Source organism: Homo sapiens, chromosome 5 (assembly GCF_000001405.40).
Source record: "Homo sapiens chromosome 5, GRCh38.p14 Primary Assembly".
Taxonomy (NCBI): Eukaryota; Metazoa; Chordata; class Mammalia; order Primates; family Hominidae; genus Homo; species Homo sapiens.
The window spans coordinates 83561114-83586038 of NC_000005.10; the positions used below are offsets into that span (position 1 = coordinate 83561114).

General features: G+C 35.1%; 1 protein-coding gene and 2 long non-coding RNA genes across 6 annotated transcripts in view; 2 read left to right on the forward strand and 1 right to left on the reverse strand.

Annotated features, from left to right (window-relative positions):
- VCAN-AS1 (VCAN antisense RNA 1) overlaps window positions 1–1201 on the reverse strand; it is a 30963-nt gene extending 29762 nt beyond the window's left edge. The window contains exon 1 of the long non-coding RNA NR_136215.1: window positions 918–1201. This is a non-coding gene — a long non-coding RNA (VCAN antisense RNA 1). The remainder of the gene's footprint in view (window positions 1–917) is intronic.
- The window catches only part of VCAN (versican), a 110559-nt gene extending 89370 nt beyond the window's left edge, over window positions 1–21189 (forward strand). For all 4 annotated transcript variants that reach the window (NM_004385.5, NM_001164098.2, NM_001164097.2 and 1 more), the window contains 3 exons: window positions 11303–11447; window positions 18867–19049; window positions 19194–21189. In NM_004385.5, coding sequence (NP_004376.2) covers window positions 11303–11447; window positions 18867–19049; window positions 19194–19321 — 456 coding nt within the window. In that variant the 3' untranslated portion in view covers window positions 19322–21189. The remainder of the gene's footprint in view (window positions 1–11302; window positions 11448–18866; window positions 19050–19193) is intronic.
- Window positions 1102–8042, forward strand: LOC124901021 (uncharacterized). Its single transcript, XR_007058847.1, has 2 exons — window positions 1102–2319; window positions 7049–8042. It is a non-coding gene; the product is annotated as an uncharacterized LOC124901021 (long non-coding RNA).

The following is a 24925-nucleotide window of genomic DNA, read 5'->3' on the forward strand; positions in this document are numbered from 1 at the left end:
CATCTCTACATTGTCAGGACTCAAATGTCACACCCCGTGAGGCTGCTGGCTTCCCTGCTTCCTGGGAAATTATCACAGCTTCCTTCTTCTCACTTTCCATTCTACAGTTGGGAGAAAACAGAGAGACTTTCTCTCTTCTACATTTGTCCAAATCTGGTCAGGAAGTTCTAGAACAAGTTACTAAATCACAGATTCATAAATATCTTATTTTCTAGCTCTAACCAACTCATCTTGCTATGATAGTTGTGATATAAACTAAAAAAAAAACTAATTGATAGGACAATTAGTACAATTAATTGTACAATTAACCTTCATTACTTAAATTCTTCTTAAAAATATTTCTGGAAGATAACTCAATTTTGCATTTTGTTTTTCATTTTGGTAAGCATAGTTCAGCTTTGGCAACTTAATACCTACAATTTCCAACACCCACTTGTCCCCCTTCACCAGTTGATTCGAGTTGATGCACAAGAATGTCCAGATGTGTGGATTTGACTTTAAATCCAGAGGCTCCTTCTTCTTCTTTCATAAATAAACACATCAGTCTGTCAAGCAAAGTATTGTGAGAAAAGCCAGCTTTGAAAAAGGTAGAAACAATAAAGAAATAGCCCTTACCCAGGAAGAGACACTTAAAAGGGGCAGAAAAAATGGAGTAACAAATCACGGACCATAAACCATTATTGTTTTTCTGCAGCAATGTATCATTATTACCCTTTCATAAACACAAAGGTTCTTATTCCCCTTCCTCTCCCAGATGTCTTGGACATTGAAAAGAGAATACGGAGTATTCATTAATTCCAGTGCTTTCTAAGCTTGTTGTAGATTTCTGCTCATTTGAAAGGATTTCACATGATTTGACAGAAAAACAATGCAAAACACAATCCCCACAACAAAAATTTAAGTTTTCCTTTTCCTACCTGAAGATCTTAGAAGACTTTCTATACAACATTTGCAGATGGATGTATGTCAGCTGTGATGTGGCATTAGCTCTAAGTCAAATACCATTTCTCTGTGAACAAGTCACACTGCATATCAACATTAATTTAATTATGTTAAACTTCACAGGCTTTATTGTATTAATCCAAAAGCCAAGGAAAACATGCTCTTTTCTCATTCTTTAACACATTACTCATGAGTGGAAGAATTCTCAGATTCCCTTCTGTGAAAGACTACTGAGTTCTTAATGAAAATTTTGACTTGTGTTGTAGTTTAATTTGATTTGGAATCAAGAACTGATTCTTCTGATTCTAAATGTGAGATATTATGAGTCATAGAGTAGTTCTAGAACGCAACTCTGCTCTCTGCCTTGTCTTTCAGTTCAGATAGCTAGTGGTGGGTTGAACAGCTGGAAGAACCATATTTACTCACTACTGGAAAATCATTTTATAATTGACAAGATTATTATAAAGAATAAGAAAAGGAGATTTAGTGCAGTAGCATCTCACAGATGCTTTTCCAACAGTCTTCTGTGCAACTTTAAAATCTCATGCAGATATTTAAATCTAATTGCTAATTAGTTTAAGGCAATGCATAACCATGGAAAAGGCCAAAAAAAAAAAATATATTGAATGAGCTTTGGCAGTCTCTCCTTACATTTGGATCGTCAGCCCTTCATGACTGGAGACCTGTGCAAATAAGCTTGGGGTAAAGGAGCCTACTGGCACCATTCATTCTATGGATTAAATGCAAGTTGCTCTCTGGGCCTCTGCCTGAGGCCCCCTCTCTCACAGTGGTCTCACAGTGCGAGTAACTCACATCCTTCTGAAAATGCTGTTGATAATTGCTGCTTTGTAGGGCAGTGAGCTCACACTATTACACAAGATTAGTGCTGTTCTCAAGAGCTGGCCAGATTGTCTTTCCCGCACAGAGGTTTGCCAGCTAGGAAAATAATGGGCATATTGCCACTTTAACAACTATCAGGAGACCCCAAGTTAGTTTTTCTTCCCTTCAGCATATTCATGTTTGTAGGATCCAACTCCAGGCTGCCAGCATAGGGTAGTGACACCAAAACAAACGTCTCTTTCTCCTTTAAAACAAAGCTGCTCTTTTCTTTTCAGTTGTCGGTCAACGAATTACCCTGTTCAACTAAAAGACAGCAGCAAAACCATAACCTCCCTTAAAACATAAATAAAGAAGGACCCAGACTAGACTAACCTTAAGCAAGTACAAGGATCAGAAGAAGGTTTATCTTTACCTTGCAGGGAAGTCATTTGCCCCTAACAAACAAGACAAAGTTAAATGCACCACTCCCCCTCCAGACTGCAAACAAATGCCTATTGTGTACACCAGCCATCTAGGGATAAAAAAGTCATTTTAAAGGTACCAAATGTTTTGATTTCTGTAATAAGTAGTCCTCATAGCCTCTTTTCAGATAACCATTTGACCTGTGTTCTGAAAGGCTGAGGCTAACCCCAAGTGGTTATTCTGTTTGTTATTTAGTGAAAAGATGGTTTCTTATCGGCATATGTTTCAAACAGGTACCTGTCCTCTTGGGAAAGTGTTTTCTGTTTGGAATTTGCTTTCCTACTTCGGTGGTTATCTGCTTGCCCTTGGTATCCAGTGCGTTTGGATTGAATTTTGTAGCTCTGGGAGTACAGCAGTGGCAATATGGGCCCCAGGTGATGAAAAGAGTTTGCGCACAAAGAAGTCAGCTCTTACTGCAGGTGTCATGTTTTCATAGCTAATCTAGATAAATTTTTACGGAAAAACAAACTAACTGTGACTCACGCTGCAGACATTGCATTTGTGTGCTTAGGTGTTTATCTATGATCTGACCTCTCCTAAGGATTTTAGGTGGATGTTGCACATTTGGCTTTGGTTCTGATGCAATTTCACCATTGATGTAAATCATCGGATAATTTTAAAAGACAGAGTGGAAAAGAAGAAACTACCGTAGGTGAACATTTTAGACAGAAAGAAAATTCAGATTATGGATAGAATGGCTTGCAACAGAATAGAATGCAGTCAGGTTGGTAAATACTGGTTCACCGAGGTCTGTCTTCTTGCAAAGTGTTCTCTTTGTGTTTTCACTCACAAAACTGAGAGAACATATCCCAGACAATCTTTTATTTTTTATTTTTATTTTTTTATTTTTGCCACATGGAGTACATAATTACGATTTTGGGGGACATATTCCAAGTTCTCTTTTGTTAAGTGGTGTAGCCGTTAATTCATAATGTAAGAATGGATATATATCACCACCTAGTGGTCGTATTGTATTTTGTGTTTCAAAACCACATTCACAGAACTACACCCAGATACACACAAGAATAATACTATCTGTAAATCAAGTTCCTGTAGTTTTGAATAGTTTCTTAATTCTAGTATAAATTGCATGATACTGTGATCCTGAAAGTTAAATGTGAAATGAGAGGATTTTTCAAATGCAGCATGAAGCTAACACATGTAGTCAAATACTTAGTAAAATCCTAGCAACTAAGGCAAATATTAGGACCTATCTGTCCTGTGTTTTCACTTTATACACAATAGTAGAACGCTGGAGAAAGTTTTCTTTGGCTAGTTTCCTTGGGAGGTGAACAGAGAGGGCTTTTGCAGGGTTTTTTAGATGTTTTTTTTTTTTTCACTGTGAACTAAATTAGCAATGTTTGGAGGAAAACAGAGTAAGTGAAGAGCAGTGACTGAACCGTTCAAGAGAAAAACTCCCAAATTATAGTTTGAAGTTCAGTAAGTTCTCCCAACAATTAAAATAATGTATTGTGAATGGCTTGACTACACACATGTCAAGAATGGTTTTTCTCAAAGGGATGTGCTTGGCAAAATTCATAAAATCTATAAAACATCATCTTTAATTGGCCATTTAAGGTAATCTAAACTATGGCGAATTTTAAAAAACAAAAGGTGACTGCACCTAAGCTGAAAAATTATAGATAATATATGGATAGATAGAGAGAGAGAGTTGGAAAGTAGGCCCTTGGCAGTTACAGATTCAAGATTTGCCGCCCCAGTTATACATGAGATCCTGAAGGTCTGCAGTATGAAAACATTTGTACTTTTTGCTCAGGCACAAATTTGAACTGTACCCAATGACTGGCTAGTGTGTAAAAACTCTCAGTGAGCTCTCAAGTCTGTGTATTGGACAGCTCAGTTTTCCCATCACAAGAAGTAGGTTGCTGTCTACTCTGCTGACCATTTTGTTTGTTCTCTACTGTATTTATGGCAGGAAATTATCTGCTACACAGATGTGTATGAATGGAAGCATTACCAAGTCTTAGGTCTTAGGCACTTCTTTAATGCCAAGAAGTATTGTATGTGTAAGGGTGTGTGTGTGTGTGTGTGTGTGTGTGTGTGTGTGTATGTGTGAGAGAGAGACAGAGTCTCAAATTTATGACTCACAAAAATATGAACTTGAATTTTGTCTAGTGTCTATGAAAATTCTGTCTCTTTTTATTTATATTGTATGATTTAGAAGCCAGTAGAGAGGAAAAGAAATAGAAAGATTCTAAACAGTGTCTGACTCTTCTAGAGAACCAGTGCTCATTGATTATTCTTTGTAGTTATTTGACCAAGTTAGAGAATCTCAGTGAAAATGACTTGAAATGGGTTGAGTATTATAAAGAAACCCTAGTTATTGATTAGGTTTTGATAAGAACGATTGCTCTTAAAACTTCTTAGTCTTTTGCTCATAGATGAATTTGCTTCTGTATGTGATGTGCAGGGATCAGCTGGGACTTGACTGTGACAGCAGTAACTGATACTGGATGGTCTGGTTTCCTTTCTTCAACTGAAAGTAGTACTAAAGATGAACCCAAGAAAACTCATTTTTTAACACAAGGAAAAAAAAACCTCCTGGTTTATTTCTAAGTCTTATCTATTTCTGAAAAACTGCTTTTTTTTTTCTTTTTTTTTTGAGACGGTGTCTCACTCTTGTTGCCCAGGCTGGAGTGCAATGGCGTGATCTTTGCTCACTGCAACCTCCGCCTCCCGGGTTAAGTGATTCTCCTGCCTCAGCCTTCCGAGGAATTACAGGTGCCTGCCACCATGCCTGGCCAATTTTTTTTATTTTTAGTAGAGACAGGATTTCATCACCATGTTGGCCAGGCTGGTCTTGAACTCCCGACCTCAGGTGATCCAACTGCCTCAGCCTCCCAAAATGCTGGGATTGTAGTCGTGAGCCACCACACCTGGCCCTGAAAAACTGCTTTTTTAACCTTTGCAAAAAGGCAGTTATCCATCACTGCATAAGGAAAAGGGCTATTAGTGTACATTACATTTTTATCATCAGTTTGTTTTGTTCATGCTTGTGATGCTAGTTATCTGCTGAGATTTTAGGTCATTGATCATGGCCACCTGGTGTGTGTTTTAAATGATAAAAGATATCTCTGAATGACAGTTGGGATTTCCTAGACACTATGTAATCAGAAATTCACCTTGAACAGTGTAAACCCCATCTGAATTTGGTAGATTGTTGGTAACTTTCAAAAGCAGAGACCTCTCCCCACCCACCATCATCTTTTTTTTTCCTGGTATGTTGACTGAATTAAGTTGGAGACTTTGCAAAGAACTGGGAAGGAGAGAAATAGCTCTCCAACCATTCTGAGTGAGAAAAATAGTCAAATCACTCTGAGATACATGGAATTGAGGTCACTCTCTGAGGGTTAAGGATGCTGGCATGCACAGAAGTCATGTGCACTGCAGAAGACCTGCAGGATGAGTCTTCTCTTTTGTGTTATTGTGAGACAGAAATAAATTTTTGACAAGTACAGATTATTTGGAACAAAATAATCGAAACATTTAGAGTTCGATAGACTTCAATGAATAGCTTCAGTCTGCTCTGAGTTTTCACCCTGTTAGGAATGGTTCACAATGAGTTCTCTAGTTTGTGAAGAGAAACATACTTATTAGCTGTTAGATTTTGTCCAGGGTTTTTTGAATCATTTTATTATTTTGGCAGCTGATTTGCTTGAATTCAATTAGGGGAAAAAGAAAGAAAAACAATAACTGAAAAGTGACTGATTCCAGCTTAATCGAAATGGTAGCCCTTTTTGGCATGTTATTACAGACCTGGAGAACTAGTTATTTAATTGGACTCTAAAAATAAAGCAATTTTATCATATATTATCCAGCATTAAGCAGTTATATACTAGATATAAAATAATTATCTCTTAATAAAATGCAAGAAAAATTTACATCTGAGTTGGCTTTCCTCTACATCAACTATTTGCGTTTTTGTTTGTTTGTTTGTTTTGAGACGGAGTCTCACCTGACCCCCTAGGCTGGAGTGCAATGGTGCGATCTTGGCTCACTGCAACCTCCACCTCCCAGGTTCAAGTGATTTTCCTGCCTCAGCCTCCCGAGTAGCTGGGATTACAGGTGGCTGCCACTACGTCCGGCTAATTTTTTGTATTTTTAGTAGAGACGGGGTTTCACTATGTTGGCCAGGCTGGTCTCGAACTCCTGACCTCGTGATCCACCCGCCTCAGCCTCCCAAAGTGCTGGGATAACAGGCATGAGACACTGCACCCGGCAACTCTTTGATTTTTATGTCACAATTTCCTCTGCCATCAGAAGAGAGTGAAAATGCAAAGTAATTTTAGGGTTCTCTTTCAGGTGTAGTAGTGATCTAATTCTTGTCCCTGGGGAGGCAACAAGCGTTTGAGGTGTGTTGCATGAACTTGAGTCCCTGAGGCACAGACAAACATGCAGGGGAATGACCAGCATTTATTTTTCCCTAAGGGGTTAAAATGAATTTCCCCAACCCATGCTGGCTTCTGGGAATAATTCTTAGTTTGCACATTCAGCTCTAGAAGAGGGTTGATCCAAGATAGATCGCTCAGGATGTTTGCTCATAATTCAAAGTGAAAAATAAAGAAATCCAAATGGGAGGTACTGAGTTTTTCCCTGCTAATTCCAAGAATCTGTATTCCTGTATATATGAGACACCATATTGTGCAAGAAGATCTATTACCTTCTTATAACTTAGAATTGATTCCCTGAGAAGGGATTTCTTCTTAACATTTAACTTTAGTGAAAAGAAAAGTACGTTATTGAAGCTAAAGTTAATTTTTTTTTTATATTTTCTCCCTACAAGTAATGTTAAATAAGGCTGTAAAGAATTCAGAAAGACACAAAGGAAGTTGTTAAGAAAACTGGAGTTTTCTTTGCTAAGTCAGTTTGGCAATAACATGAAGCAAAATCAAAGCATCCTAGCCAAGATAAATCTGCACAATGGAATGATCAGATATGAGGTAATAGTGTGACATGCCTGTGGGTATCAGACATTCTTGTAAAAACCACAGAGCTAAAATTTGGTACTGCACCATTAAACTACAGCTCTGCCAAGCAACAACAGGAACACTCATTTTAAGTCATTGCTGCAAGCCAAATGTAATTCTCACCCAAAACAATTAAATCTTTTAACAGAGGCCTGAATCTGGGCAGTTTGAGCCCCGAGAATCACTTTAGTGGCATGGAGTCCGAATCTCATTTCAGTGTGAAAATGAGATGGTTATTGTTCAGATCAGGAGGAAGTGTCAGCTGCAAAATATAGGGCAGTCAAGTGACTTTAGTAACTTGCGGTGATATTTGTTAAGATTAGATTTAAAAAGGGTTAGTTAAGAAATTTGTATTTTTTGTGAGAAATGCACATATCATTTTATAAAGTTCATTTTTAGCAATTAGAAAAATAATGCTCACTCTAGAGAACTTGGAAAATATCATAAGTAAGAATATATAGAATAAAATATTATCTCAGTCTCATATCACTCAGACATAAACTCTGGAAGATTTTATTGCATTTGCTTTTGGTCTTTTATATACACAGACACACACGCAAACACAAACACACACACATACATCCATACACCCAGCTGTATCTGAGAGTATGAGTAAAATTTGGATCATTATAATGTAATAATTTAACACTTGTTTTACTACCCCCCATTTCTTTATTTATTCTTCAAAGAAAATTTTAAATGGTGATATAATATTCTATTTGTCTGGCTATATCATAATTTATTGAACATATGTTTACTCTATAAATTGTTTTCCCTTTACTGCTAATAAACGTAGTATTTCATATAAAATGTCATTCACATCTGTGATTATTTTTTAGTATAGAATTTTAGAAGTGGAATTTTGGGGTCCAAAAGCAAGAACTTTTTGAGGCTCCTGATATGCATTGCCACCTGTTTTCCAGAAAGGTTATTTACTTCCACTGGCTATGTCTGTAATTGTCTGTCTCACCTATTTGCTAGCAGCAAGCAGGATCTTTGATTAGGTATTGGTGTGGGTTGGGAAGAATGAAACACCCTCTGTGGTTCATTGTCTCTAAATATCAAAAACTATTTATTAAACAACATAAGTATGTGCCAAACATAGTTTCTGGCACTGAGGATACAGTAATGAGCAAAAGAAACCAAAGCCCTGTCCTCAATGAATTTACATTCTACTAGGAGAAAAAAATGCAATTAATGAGTAAATTATGTAGGATGGTAGAATATGATAAATGTTATGAAGAAAAAGAAATTAAGAAAGGGAGATGGGACAGTGTAGGTAGGGACAAAAAATGAGAGAGTAATGCACAGTGTACACATAGTATTAGGATGTTGGAAAATTTTCCACCTTTGAGGACATTACTGGTTTCCTGTAAGAGACTAGTTGGAAAGTAAGCTAGAAAATATTGAGCTCCTAAATCCAAATTTAATATTTGGCGAACTCTGGAATCTTTGACCATAGAGAGTACCAAATATAGATTTTTGTTAGTTTTAATGGATTCTTATTCTTTGGTTTTTAATTTTTATCCTACTTTAACTCATTCATTACAAACAACTTAGTTCTGTATCAGCAACAGGCAGAACATGACATATCTCTGAAATGTTGATTATCTATTAAAGGAGAGTATCAAAAATGTAAAAAGGAGGCTTGGCGAGTGGAGGGTGAGGGATGATAAGGGAAATGAGCAAAGAAAAAAAAAGGGAAATAATTAGAAACCCAGTGCAGAGCCAATGTGAGTTCCTGGTTGCAGGGAGACCTACCAGTCAAGGAGTACTTCAGTGAGTGTGGTCCCTTGAGCATCTTTTCCAGGCCATTTGGAGAGTAACACAGTGGGGCCATTTAGGCTACGAGTTGGATTTAAATTTGCCTCACTTCTGGATTAGGTTTTTCCCCCGAGAAATAAAACCACCCTTCATGCTGTATTTTGACAAAAAAACAACTTCCTTAAGGGTCTCTTGGTTTTTTGCAAGTTTATCACTCTTCAAACAGTCTTTTTTACATAGCAGTGATCTCTTGTCTCATATCTTAATTTTGGCAGGATTGAGGAGGACTTTAAAGTAAAGCTAAAAGACTGAAACAAAAGTAGGTTTTCAAACTTTAGATCTTTTCACAAATTATTTTATGAAAGATCTAAATTTTTTTTACCATATTTAAAAGTTTTGAAAACCACTTTTTCTGAGAAGAAAAATTACAGACATCCTCTAGTATATTAATTATACTCTTTTTGTTTGTAAACTAGAGCTTATTGGTATACAAATCCAATTTCATAGGTAGGAGAATACCTTTTAAGTTTTTTATTGTGCCAAGTATTAGAGATATAAAACACAGAAGAAACATTTGGTATTGAAAACACTGCAGATAGCTAAGTATAGTACTTTGGTAAATACAGTAAAATGGATCAGACATATATTTTAAAAGACTTAAAAATAGTGATAGTACTGTTGGGAGTAAGTAGGTAGTAGAGTAATTGGACCTTCCCTTTTTTTTTTTTTTTAATTTTTGCATTCACTGATGCTCTGAATTGAAAACAATTGCCTTAAATCTTATATACACTTTATTCTCTTTCTCTTTGCCAAATAAATTCACTTAACTCATTGTCTCAAACCATAAACTTATTTTAAACTTAATTCAAGGAAAGACTAACAGATCTGTAGGCCCAGAAAAGACAGTCATATTAGCCATTGTCACATAAATCTAAATCTGTATTTCTAGCATATTTTGGAAGTTTGTCACCACTAATGTTGTCATACTAGACATGATAAAGCATGAGAGTAGCCAAAGCATGGTGGGAAAGTGATGCTCAAATTGACCCAGAAAGGCGCTGAACAAACAAACTTGTCTCATACCACATTCTAGTTAAGAGGACTCAAGACTAGGAAACTGGTCTCTTATTTATAGGCCAATATTATTTTCATCTTATCAAAGTTTGTTATTCTTGAATAGGCACAGCGACTATGTTTTTTACATAATTATTGTTGCCAGGAAGGCAATATTTTAAGTAACAAAGAAATGAACCTAAACCGGAGAGTTCTGGGTGCATAACATCTCTAAGGTCCAAATAATTCCCTATTATGCTGCATTGTTGTAAGAGACAATGCATATCAAGTACCTAGAAAAGGGCTTCATCTATTATAGATGCTAAATAAATGACACATATGATGGAAGGCAAAAGATATTTTCAATTGTATATTATTGCTCAGAGTAGGATATATATATATACGTGTATATATAAAGGTAACCAGCAGAGAAATGTCAAACCCATAAAGTCCTTTTCAATGATCTCAACATACATTACACACAAAAAAAATCTGTAATAAGATATACTTTTGAAGGTGTATTTTTTATATCAATATGCATAAATGTCATAAATGTTTCTACTAAAAAGAAAACATTTCATATTAAATCATAAAGCACAACTCAACTGTATGGTGCAAATAAGAATCACATCTAAAACAAACTAGCTTTGAAAGGTTGTATATAAAATGATTAGCATAGGTATGTCAGATAAATACAAAAGATAAATATTGCAACTATCTCAACTTTTTTAACCAAATAGATGAATTTGGGTGAAAAGCAATTACAATAAATGAGACAAAGTTACTTTATAGTAGTACAGATAAGACAAGACAGGCTGAAAATTCGATTGAGGTATCATCACAATTATATAAATTTATATGTGCACATAAGAGGTAGAAGAAAACAATGATTAGAGTGATGAGATTATTTTTTCTCTAGTTCTACTTCCATTAATTTTATTGAATTAATAATATGATGAAATTCCTAAATTGAAGGTTGATGATATATTTAGAAATCTAGAATAACTAGGCCAAAATTTGTCCATGATATCTCATTGCCAAATAGTAGACATTCGTTCAATAAAGACTTTGAGACACATATATTTTCTACTCACAGTTTAACAGTCTTTTTCTGTACCACCAAAATAATTTCAGCTATATGAAACAACAGAAATTGTTGAGTCTATTCCAATTAGATTGTGATATAATACCGTCGTTGCTCTTACGTTACTTTTTGACTAGCAAGTAGTTACCTTCTCCCTCCATTTTTACAGCAATACGAGAATTGGAGACCCAACCAGCCAGACAGCTTCTTTTCTGCTGGAGAAGACTGTGTTGTAATCATTTGGCATGAGAATGGCCAGTGGAATGATGTTCCCTGCAATTACCATCTCACCTATACGTGCAAGAAAGGAACAGGTAATGATCACCCTGTTAATAATGTGTACTTAATCTTCATTTCAATTATAAAGATAATTCAGGAATTTGTGTCTCAAATTCATTGTTTGAGACACAAACTGGATATGTCCATGTATGTCATCTCTCGTTGCTCTGGAATATTTCACTCTTCCAAAACAATTGAAAAGTTTGTTTTCAACAATGTTCTCACCTTAGATTTCAGGTCCTTAAGATAACAATGTGACATTAACGTAGGAATGCTGCCTGGTAATATCTTTAAGAAGAACAACTGCCAGTCCAAAGGCCAATAGACCTTTTTATTTTTATTTATTTATTTATTTATTTATTTATTTATTTATTTATTATTATTATTGTTTTTTGAGATGGAGTCTCGCTCTGTCACCAGGCTGGACTACAGTGGTGTGATCTTGGCTCACGGCAACCTCCGCCTCTGGGTTCAAGCAATTCTCCTGCCTCAGCCTCCCAAGTAGCTGGGACTACAGGCGTGCACCATCACACCCAGCTAATTTTTGTATTTTTAGTAGAGATGGGGTTTCACCGTGTTAGCCAGGATGGTCTCAATCTCTTGACCTTGTAATCTGCCAGCCTCAGCCTCCCAAAGTGCTGGGATTACAGGCTTGAGCCACCGCTCCTGACCGACTTCTTTTTTTATTTTGATGAGAACATTACAAAATAAAATAGTTGTCAACAGTTAAAAATTAGGCTATATTTTTTAAATCTGGATTTTCAGCTTTTTTAAGAAATAAGAAGACCTGGTACCATGTGGCCCATATTCAGATTTGTCGGTGGTTTGAAGTACTAGAGCTGAGAACCACTGCCCTCCCTTGGTTGGGGCTGCAATCTCCATTTATTGCAGTCCTCATTGAGTCCTTCCTTTGTTTTATGTGAGTCCGTGTCCCAATCCTGAAAGACACAATCCCAAATGCCATAATCCTAAATGTTGAAATCTCAAAGGATTAAAATCCCAAAAATAGAATTCTGGAAAAAAACAAATTTTAAAGACATTTATTTACATTTTAAAATGATGATTTATTAGAGAAACATATAAAAACATGACAGCGTGCTTCATAAGCCACTTTAGACAATAAAATAAATAGACAATAAAAACATACATATATTTTCAAGCATAAGCACTCAGGTATACTAATGGCAGTTGGGGAAAAACCAAAATGTATGAATGCACATCACTCTGGTTGTAATTGTGTGCACCAGCTTTATAACGGTGGTCATCTGAAATACCATGATGAACAACATAAATCTTTTCACAAGATTGATGAAGAACTGAGATGGGTTACCACCGCATATTCAGTCACTCAAAGAGCTGAGATCTTGAGAAATTTTATCTTTCATAAATGGAGATGTATAAAAGAACATCTCTTCATTTATTGAGGAAGTTTCAATATTTTTATATTGAGAACCAAGGAAGCTGAAGCCAGTACTGTAACTCTCAGTCTGAGACCGAAAGCCTCAAGACCTGGGGGGCCTCTGGTGTGTAAGTCCTGGAATCCAAAGGCTAGTGAGCCTGGAGTTCTGATGTCCATGGTGGCAGAAGTCTGTCCCAGCTCTCAGAGAAAGACCAGCTTGCCTTCTGTATCTGTTCTCTCTGGGCCCCTGGCTGATTGGATGGTGCCCATCAACAATGAGGGCAGATCTTCCCCACCTCATCCACTCACGCTGACACATTAATCTTCTCTAGAAACACTCTGAGACGTGCCCCAAATAATGCTCTATTAGGTTTCTAGGTATTCCTTAATCCAGTCATGTTGACACCTAAAATTAAGTCTACAGGTCTACCCCTTGCAACTTGGCACCCATATGCATGTTTTTAAACCGTATTTAAATTTCCAAATAAAGACAATAACAAGGTAATATAATAATTTCTCCTGACATGATATAACTATCCTGCATACAACCAAAAATGCACTAATCCCTTCCCTAGAATTTGGCTTTCAGGATTTCAACATTTGGGATTTTAATATTTCAGAATTATGATTTTGGGGACTTTAGATGTTAGGGATTTTAACCTCTAGGGATTTTGGTCTTTAGGAATTTCAAAATTTGGGATTATGACTTTTGAGATTATGTCTTTTGGGATTATAATTGTCACCGGTTTTTGCCAACTGCCTGGTCTCTGTAGGCATTTGAGCTTTTTAACCATTCCCTTAGAAGTTTATTTTATGCTTATAAACTATGGATCACAAATGCCATCCTTATATCTGTAGTTGAATATTTACAAGATATAATAAAATAAGAACATGTGTAATATAAATTTTATGAGAATTGTTTAGTTAACATTAAACAAGAAATATTTTAAAAGCGAATTTTTTAAAAGGTGTGTTTATCATTGGCCAATTTCTAAAGCACGCTGTACAGACTTTTTCCCTAAACAAATAGAAATTCTGTAAAATATTTTAACCTATTTGCAATTAATAATGGTGTTATCACATGAATATTTAATCCCTAGACCCAGACTTTTACCCATCTCAAATAAGAGTACGAAGTACACATGTAAAATATAAACCTATTTGATTAATTTGTCTTTGAATACAAAAATAATAAAACTAAAAACCATACTCTATAAATATTTTAGGAAAGATTTAAACCCCAATAATGAGAAATTCTATTAGAAGAAAGAGAACACTAACATACATCAAGCCCGAGTCTCATATGAAAGTCAGCTGTTAGCAATAAGTACGTTAGTCTGCTGTTTTCTCACCCAAGGTAGAATGTATTCTCAATACCTTTTCTACATGAGAAGCTTTCCTGACCATGTCCCTTACTTCAGCACCTCTGCGATGAGATTTGTAAAACTAGCAAATCAAGTATTTTCTATTTTTCTTTTTCCGGTGTAGGAATCTTTACTAAATTATTCGTCTCTATCCAAATGTCATGTTTGCCCTCTTATGTCTCCAATGGTCCCTGGAGTCATACTTTTCATTTTATGATTTAAACATTCTTACATTTCCTATTTTATTTTCTCCTATAGCAGGGTTTCTCAACAGCAGAGCTATTGACATTTTTGGTCAGATAATTCTTTATTTTGAGAGGCTATCCTGTGCATTAAAGCATGTTTAGCATAATCCCTGCCCTTTGTATACTACATGTCAGTAGCACCTTTACATCCTTTCTGCATTGTAAAAAGCAAACATGTCTCTAGACATTGCCATATGTCTCCAGAAGAGGCAAACTGTCCCACGTTGAGAACCACTGCCCTATACCAAAAAAGATTCACAAAAACACCATGATTGTTTACATTTCCCAATGGATAACAAGTTTTATAAAATACTGGTTCTACCTCATTAAAGAAGAAGAAGGAAAAAAACCCTATTTTTGCATTTTATCTCCCCTACTCGCTGATTTTTATATTTGTGCAGTCAATTCTTTACTAATCAGAACTCTGGGGAAGTTTTTAAATGTTTATAGGCTTTTAAAAAAGATACCCTTTTCTCTTTTTAGATATTTTAAACCTACAGACCTAAGTAGTTTTCCTTTTAATTAACTATTACATACTTGTAACGATTTATAATATATACAAAAGGCATATTTTTTAAAAGAACACCTCAATGCATACTGCCCATGTATCTGTGGAGTATCCTGTGGGTTCCTCTCAATCCTATCTATTTACTTCTCAACTCCCACCAGAGATAATGACTTAATTCCCTTGCTTTTCCCTTTTCTATTATGATATACACTTGTTTCACTAAACAATAAATTATTTAGTGTTGTACATTTTTGAACTTTAAATAAGTGGGATCATACTGTATATATTCTGTGCTTTGCTCTTTTTTTTGTTCAGCATTATGTTTGTGAGATTTATTCATGTTGATGCATGTAATGGCATGTTCTTTGTTTTTGTTTCTGTATTGTATTTCTTGTATAACTATACAACATTTTACTTATCAATTCTCCTGTCAGTGGACGCTTGAGTCATATTCGGTGTTTTTGCTTTTATAAACAATGTTTCTATGAGCATTCTTGAACTTGTTCTTGGTCAACTTTTGTGAGTTTCTGTAGGATATATTTCCAGGAGTGAAGTTGCTGAGTCATAGGATATATGTACCATAAAATCTACTTTAAAAAGCCAAATTTTTTTCCAAAGTGGTGGTACCAATTTTCACTCCCACCAACAATCTGTGATAGATCCTGTTGCTCTACATCTTCTCCAACATTTGGCACTATTGGACTTTGAAATTTTTGCCAATCTGGTGGGTATAAAATGTAATCTCTTGTGACTTAATTCACATTTTTTGATACGTCTCTCTGAATATCTTTTCATATATTTATCAATCACTTGAAGCTCTGCTTTTGTAAAGTTTCTGTTCATATCTTTTGGTTATTTTTGAAAATTGTTTACTTATAATCTTATACATACTAATTTGTAGGAGTTCTTTTTATATTCTGGTTACTAATCCCTTGACAATTTTATATGTTGCAAATATCTTCTCCCAGTTTGTTGCTTGACTTCACCCTTACCTTATGATATTTTCTGATGAACAGAATCCTTAATTTTATTTATTTTTTTTCCTTTATGATCTAATCTTTTTTGTGTTTTAAGAAATCTTTACCTACTGATAACCTACAGGTCACATTGGCAGGCTTCCAAATTAATCCGCCTGGGGGAGGTCTTATGATTCATGGCTTACATCCTGTCCCTGAGTAAACAATTTTATCGTGAGTTCCTCAAATCTTATCATGAATTCCTTAAACTGTTGACATACTGATTAATATGTAGCCTACTGACAGTGGAAAAACACTGATTTGTTTCTGAATCCTGAAGTTTTACTGATTGTTTTGCACATAGAGCATTTTAGCTTGTATTTTGTAAATCGTAGCCAATGATTATAACCTCTGTATTGTACCCTCCAATGAAAATCACAACTCGGGTCTGAGGAGTTGCCCTCCCTTCTGAACTTCCCCATAAAAACCTTCCAACTTGTAGCAGATTCTGGAATATGCCCAAATTTGTGGTGTGTCTTCCCAGGTAGATCCTGGCATTTGGCTTCCAATAAGCCTTTATCAAATTATTTCTGCCTCAACAGCCTTAATTTTGGTTGACACTATCCTGAAGTCATAAAGATATTCTATAGTTTCTAAATGTTTTATAGTTTTGCCTCTTATATTTATATATTTCAACCATCTAGAATTGATTTTTAATGTCTTTTCTGAAGTATGGAACCAAGTTTATTATTTCTGTATGAATACACAAGTGTTCAAATGAAAAGACTACACTTTCCCTCTGCTCTGCCATGTTGCCTCTTTCAAATATCAAGCATATGTGTGTAAATCTCTTTCTGGTCTATTTTCCTGTCCTTGCCAATACCACACTCACTGAATTATTATAGCTTTTTAATAAGTCTTCATATTTAGTTTTAGAAGAAATCTATACAATTATTTCCTCAAAATTATAAAAATGAGTTCAAATTTGTTAGCATAGCACCAAATCAAGTACATTGAATTATTGAATTGATCATTTTTAACCTTCCCTATCACTTTGGTCTTATTCCATCTGATACTTGCTATTGTCTGGACCCTAGTATAGGCTTTCCATATTGCAATAAAAGAAGTGTGCACCATGGAATACGATGCAGCCATAAAAAGGAATGAGATCATGTCCCTTGCAGGAACATGGATGGAGCTGGAGGTCATCATCCTTAGCAAACTAACACAGGAACAGAAAACCAAATACTGCGTATTTTCACTTATAAGTGAGAGCTAAACACTGAGAACATAAGGACACAAAGAGGGGAAAAACAGACACTGGGGCCTACTTGAGGGTGGAGGATGGGAGGAGGGAGAAGATTAGAAAAATAACTGTTGGGTATTAGGCTTAGTACCTGGGTGACAAAATAATCTGTAAAACAAACCCCTGTGACATGAGTTTAGCTATATAACAAGCCTACACATTTACCCCTGAACTTAAAAGTTAAAAAAAAAAGTGTGCAGGTATCCAGATTGAGGTCAAGCAGAAGTAAATTAGAAGAACCAAACATTTAAATTAAACCAAAATTTGTCATTGCAGAAGGATATGGTTGTAAACAGTCCTCTGAATATGTAATAAATTTAATAATTGTAAACTTTTAATATTAGGATGTTGACATTCAAATATTTGGTACCAAGGTTTCTGGTAATCATTTTCCCACTGAATATTTGCAATATTTCATGAGAGAATGTGGCATGTTTTTGTGGGCCTGTGGTGTAAGAATTCTTAAGCAATAGAAATTTCCACTTAGGGAAAATTATATTTAAGTTACATTTGTATTAAAGATATATAGGTAAATATAATAATTTAATCAAAGTTCATTTTTTTAAAGCATATCATTTAAAATAAGTGTGCTAATGTTGAATAAAACTATGTTAACACAAATTCAATTAAATCAATTTTCCAAGCTTTTGGATTTTTTTAAAATTCAAAATTACAAAATTTTTCATTGTAAATTTAAAATGATGGTTAAGAATTCCAAGCTTTACCCTCATTTGCCTGTCTCAGGAGTTTTAATTTATATTCATTAAGGTATTTATGAAACTCAGGCATGAATATTATGGTCTCTTTTTCTTGTCTCAATACAGAAGACAAAAAAGAGCAAATAAATATAAATGGAACCAAAAGATATTTGTATTTAGGAGACTTTGTCCATATTTCAAAACTATGATGTTATTGTAGATTGTAAGGTTTTTTGTTTGTTTGTTTGTTTGTTTGTTTTGTTTTGTTTTGTTTTGTTTTTGAGACACAGTCTTGCTCTGTCACGAGGCTGGAGTGCAGTGGTGCAATCTCGGCTCACTGCAACCTCCGCCTCCCAGGTTCAAGTGATTCTCCTGCCTAAGCCTCCCGAGTAGCTGGGACTACAGGTGCCCACCACCATGCCTGGCTAATTTTTTGTATTTTTAGTAGAAACAGGGTTTCACCATGTTGGCCAGGATGGTCTTAATCTCTTGATCTCGTGATCCACCCCGCTTGGCCTCCCAAAGTGCTGGGATTACAGGCATAAGCCACTGTGCCTGGCCTGTAGATTGTACGTTTTTATAAGGAGGTAATAGTAATAGTTAAATTCATTATTGTCCCAAGTGAAGGTAATTAAGAAATAAAAACTTAGGGACGGTGATGAAGACAGTATGCTTTTTAATTTGGAAATTTTGTCAGAATAGTGGCCCTTCCAGAGGGGTAGATGAATGTATGACCATTTAGTCCTATGGTTGTTTTAATAAAACAAATTTCAAGATGGCATAATCTGAGATTCAAAGTAGGCCCAGAGCCTCAACATTACATTTTCTTTTTGAAAAATTTCATATTCTTAATTCTAAAAGATTGCCTTTGATGAAGTTGCTTACTTTGGTACCATAAAGAAAGAGAGAAAAATAAGAGACTCATATTAGTTGAAATACTTAGATTATTTGGAAATAACCCAATTTGCTTTCCTTTAGTCGCTTGCGGCCAGCCCCCTGTTGTAGAAAATGCCAAGACCTTTGGAAAGATGAAACCTCGTTATGAAATCAACTCCCTGATTAGATACCACTGCAAAGATGGTTTCATTCAACGTCACCTTCCAACTATCCGGTGCTTAGGAAATGGAAGATGGGCTATACCTAAAATTACCTGCATGAACCGTAAGTGGTCCTTTAGAAAGAATGGACTACCGTGCTATAACAACTACTAGACACCTTCATTTTACGGCTGTGGTATCGGCAGTTTAGGGTATGGAGCAAGTAATATTGTGTGTTTTCTTTTTTTCTTTCTTTCCTTCCATGTAGCATCTGCATACCAAAGGACTTATTCTATGAAATACTTTAAAAATTCCTCATCAGCAAAGGACAATTCAATAAATACATCCAAACATGATCATCGTTGGAGCCGGAGGTGGCAGGAGTCGAGGCGCTGATCCCTAAAATGGCGAACATGTGTTTTCATCATTTCAGCCAAAGTCCTAACTTCCTGTGCCTTTCCTATCACCTCGAGAAGTAATTATCAGTTGGTTTGGATTTTTGGACCACCGTTCAGTCATTTTGGGTTGCCGTGCTCCCAAAACATTTTAAATGAAAGTATTGGCATTCAAAAAGACAGCAGACAAAATGAAAGAAAATGAGAGCAGAAAGTAAGCATTTCCAGCCTATCTAATTTCTTTAGTTTTCTATTTGCCTCCAGTGCAGTCCATTTCCTAATGTATACCAGCCTACTGTACTATTTAAAATGCTCAATTTCAGCACCGATGGCCATGTAAATAAGATGATTTAATGTTGATTTTAATCCTGTATATAAAATAAAAAGTCACAATGAGTTTGGGCATATTTAATGATGATTATGGAGCCTTAGAGGTCTTTAATCATTGGTTCGGCTGCTTTTATGTAGTTTAGGCTGGAAATGGTTTCACTTGCTCTTTGACTGTCAGCAAGACTGAAGATGGCTTTTCCTGGACAGCTAGAAAACACAAAATCTTGTAGGTCATTGCACCTATCTCAGCCATAGGTGCAGTTTGCTTCTACATGATGCTAAAGGCTGCGAATGGGATCCTGATGGAACTAAGGACTCCAATGTCGAACTCTTCTTTGCTGCATTCCTTTTTCTTCACTTACAAGAAAGGCCTGAATGGAGGACTTTTCTGTAACCAGGAACATTTTTTAGGGGTCAAAGTGCTAATAATTAACTCAACCAGGTCTACTTTTTAATGGCTTTCATAACACTAACTCATAAGGTTACCGATCAATGCATTTCATACGGATATAGACCTAGGGCTCTGGAGGGTGGGGGATTGTTAAAACACATGCAAAAAAAAAAAAAAAAAAAAAAAAAGAAATTTTGTATATATAACCATTTTAATCTTTTATAAAGTTTTGAATGTTCATGTATGAATGCTGCAGCTGTGAAGCATACATAAATAAATGAAGTAAGCCATACTGATTTAATTTATTGGATGTTATTTTCCCTAAGACCTGAAAATGAACATAGTATGCTAGTTATTTTTCAGTGTTAGCCTTTTACTTTCCTCACACAATTTGGAATCATATAATATAGGTACTTTGTCCCTGATTAAATAATGTGACGGATAGAATGCATCAAGTGTTTATTATGAAAAGAGTGGAAAAGTATATAGCTTTTAGCAAAAGGTGTTTGCCCATTCTAAGAAATGAGCGAATATATAGAAATAGTGTGGGCATTTCTTCCTGTTAGGTGGAGTGTATGTGTTGACATTTCTCCCCATCTCTTCCCACTCTGTTTTCTCCCCATTATTTGAATAAAGTGACTGCTGAAGATGACTTTGAATCCTTATCCACTTAATTTAATGTTTAAAGAAAAACCTGTAATGGAAAGTAAGACTCCTTCCCTAATTTCAGTTTAGAGCAACTTGAAGAAGAGTAGACAAAAAATAAAATGCACATAGAAAAAGAGAAAAAGGGCACAAAGGGATTGGCCCAATATTGATTCTTTTTTTATAAAACCTCCTTTGGCTTAGAAGGAATGACTCTAGCTACAATAATACACAGTATGTTTAAGCAGGTTCCCTTGGTTGTTGCATTAAATGTAATCCACCTTTAGGTATTTTAGAGCACAGAACAACACTGTGTTGATCTAGTAGGTTTCTATTTTTCCTTTCTCTTTACAATGCACATAATACTTTCCTGTATTTATATCATAACGTGTATAGTGTAAAATGTGAATGACTTTTTTTGTGAATGAAAATCTAAAATCTTTGTAACTTTTTATATCTGCTTTTGTTTCACCAAAGAAACCTAAAATCCTTCTTTTACTACACTGTGACTGGTCTGGTTATTTACAACTTTAAATCCTTATGTGCACCAACATTTTTACATTCTGGTTCCATCATGGAGAGCAAGCTTCTAACCTGGATGAAATGATTTTGTGGCAAGCAAAGAAATGATTATATATTTACCCGTAAAAGTTGCGATAATAATTCTGATAATGTTTTCATCTGAATACTATGTATTAATTTCAAATATGGAAACTATGCAATGGGAAAAGTGATAGCTCACATCACAGAAATCTTCCTATGAACCAAGGCAAGTATTTTACATGTAATATATCATAACAAGCTTATGAAACAGGGGTCATCATTACTGACTGATAAGGGATCGGGCATAGAGGGCTCGTTATTTGTCCAAAATCATGCAGTTAGTGTGTAGCAGAAGCAGGTAATCCCTACAGCCCACACAGAATTTCCAAGAAAAATGTAAAATATTATATCCCTGATTGTTATGCATTTAAGAGGTTATCACCCATTCAGATATCCATCCGTTCCTTCAGTTTTCATTCATTCATTATTTAAGGATTTAATGTGTGCCAGGCACCGTAATAGGCTCTGAAGATTCACCAGTGGATGCGGTAGACAGGTTTCTGCCCACATAAAGTTTTTATACTGGCTGCATCCCATGGAAATTATCATAGAACCCATTCTATTCAGTATCTTTATTGATAATCTGGAAGAACCAATACATTTTATGCTCCAAAGTTATATCAAAGATATAAAGGTCAAAGGTGAGCTGAAAATTATTTTAAGGTTCTTTCTAGAAATGTCAAAAATATACAGGGAGTTTGGCATGAATAAGTGTGGAAGAGAAGAGATTATTTTCCTTTCTGAGCTTGTCCTTTTAGTGTGCACTCTGTCATATCTTTTACATAGAATTTAAATATGATCCAAGGGAATATATAAGAATTTATAATAATTGTGCATATATAGCCTTCTGAGATTATTGGTGGATCTAGGTACAAATAACAGAATCTGTGGGATGAACAGAATACTGGGACAGAGTGAGACATTAAAAAAGACTTACACTAGTCAAAGGCAGCAAGAAGTGGTTCTTTGTCCATTTTTAAAGGTTAAGTGGCATATCAGAGGGAAGAATGTGCCCCTGCGTTGGGGGCTATTTAAGAAGAGGTGGTCTTCCAGGGTAGCTGTATTACTAAAGAGGTAAGAGAGATTGTATAGGGAGAGGTGCATCATTTTAATGTGATGGTAAGTAGACCTTTGCTGATCTTAAGTAAATTTTCAATAAAGTACCAAGAGTAGGAACTGAATTAGCCACAAGCTATTTGCCCGGAAATCATATATCATGTACAATAAACTCACAGAGTTTGCAAATAAACAGAAAAAAATAAAGTAGTTGTAAAAAAGTTCCGGGTTAATTTTGTGCATGACTATTTCCCATGAAAAGGATCTATGAGAGAATATATTCTAGATAAGGGAAAAAGATGTTATTATCAAGTGGCTAAAGACTCAGTGATGAATACAACATTTGTAAAGTGTTTCCTTTTATGTTTCTTAATATTAGAAATGCAGTGAAATTGTTTCTGAAAAAAAAAAGGTTGGCAGTGATATGTTAGCACTGATATTGGTGCATCTTTCTTTTTACTGTATTGCAACTTGCATTTTCTCTAAACAAATCAGAATTCATCCAAATGATTCTTTTCTGAAACAAGTCTAAACAGAACATTTATAAAGGTCCTTGAGTGAGTCATTCAAGATTGTATAATCTTTTCCCATTATTACTCATTTCTGTATGTTTAGATCCCAGCTGGACAAGAAAGAGCAAATGCCAAAATAGAACAAGAATGGTTTTGTTGAGGTGTTTACAGAATAAGCAAAGCCTGGGTTTTAATTGGAATTTAATTCAGAGTTCTGTCTGAGTCCATCAAATGATCCCTGTTGAAGATTAAAAGTTTACTGCCTTAGGCAGTAAGTCTTAAATTATTTTTGATAGTATTTATTTAAAAATTTTAAAAACTATGTACCTCTCACATTTTAAGTTGTCAACAAAATTTTTTTTCATCATAAAGTTATACAACTATAGAGGATGTAATTTTTGACCTATTTTAAATATTGTCATTCTAAAATAAGCATGTAATATCACTTTCAGGATATATTCAGTGGAATCTAAATATCATAGTGGTTTGACCTCTTACATCATTCTTTTAAAAGTAGTCTTTTATTAAGAGTCAAAAATTTTATATTTTTGTTTTCGTTGGACTAATTCTAAAATTTAAGTTCCTCTTACGGAATGTTATCAAAAATTATATAGTTATATGCTTAGAAGTCTTCTATTGATTAAGCCATCAAACTTAAGTACATCAAAATTTGTACTTTAAAGTTTAAATTCTTTTTTCCTTGTGAACATAATCCTATAAACTAAAATTTTCCTGGACCAAGTTATTTTTGTAGTTTACTAATATACAATTGATCAAAACAATATAAAGCTATCGTAACATGTGAAAGATTATACAAATTGTAAAAATTTTGTTGGAAATATGTCTTAATGAGATGATTAGGGCTGTTTTTCCCAATTCACATTTCCGTAGGGAAATATTCCTTAAAACTAGAATGTGGCATGGCTTAGCACATTTCACTCTCATTTTGTTTGATAGATGTAAATACCGAGAAAATCTGTTTACATAAGTAGATGAAAATGATAGTTTTATTGTGCACTGCTACTCAATTTTTAAAGCAATTTCTGTTATATGCCAAAAATCACAGTGATCTATCAAAAGTTATTTTCAAATTACCTCTCAGCTGACATGTCAAGTCCTCCTTAATTTTTTTTTTAAATAAACACTTGGTTTGAAAAAGGATTTGTCACACTGGCATCAGAATTATTCAGTGTGAATTGTCTCTTACTTGTCCTAATTCTTGCATTCCATGGCAATGTATCCTAAGACTCAGAATGGATAAGAGATGTTTCATTTAGTGGTTGTTTTTTTTTTTTAAATAAAGTAGAAAAGGAGCAATTGTCTGAAGTATTGGTCCTCAAACTTTGTTCCTTGGAACAACAGCATTAGTTTCACCCAGGAACTTGTGAAAAATGCAAATCCTCAGACCTTACCCTACTGAATGAGAGATTATGGGAGTGGGGACAGCAGTATGGGTTTTCGCAGGCACTCCGGTGCTTCTCATGCATTCTAAGGTGTATGAGAACTGGCATAAAGGGGGATGCAAAAGCAGAAGCAGGAGCCTCCACCACAGACACCTCCCTAGGCAGATGAGTTTTAGAAAAGCCTCTAGGTGGAAATTAAAGTTCTGGAAATGGCTTCACTTTTATGTATCCCTTGGAAAGTCTTAGGGCACTCACACAGTAGGCATACTACCCTAGGAGTACATTAAGTTTTCCCCTGGTTTGGAGAAAGCTGCTTTAAGATACAGAGTCCTTAAAGTGCTTTCTGATTTTTAGTACATCATCTGTCCATATTTGTGAGCATGTGTTCTACCAGTCTGGTGGTGATTACTTTCCAACCTTTTAATGGGCCTCTGGTTTTAAAGAAAAAAATGAGAAAGGTTTTCTTTACAGGAAAAAACGAATAAAGCAGCATGATTAAAAATATTAATTTCTTAAAGACCTGATACAAAGTTTTAAGTGTAGGAATTAAGAGAAATTTAAAAACAGAAATAAAAGCAAAGAAGATATATTGTAATTTCTCTTCAAGAGCAAACCAGGAAAAGGAACCTCAAATTCAATGATGAGCCCTAAAAGAGGCCTAGGTG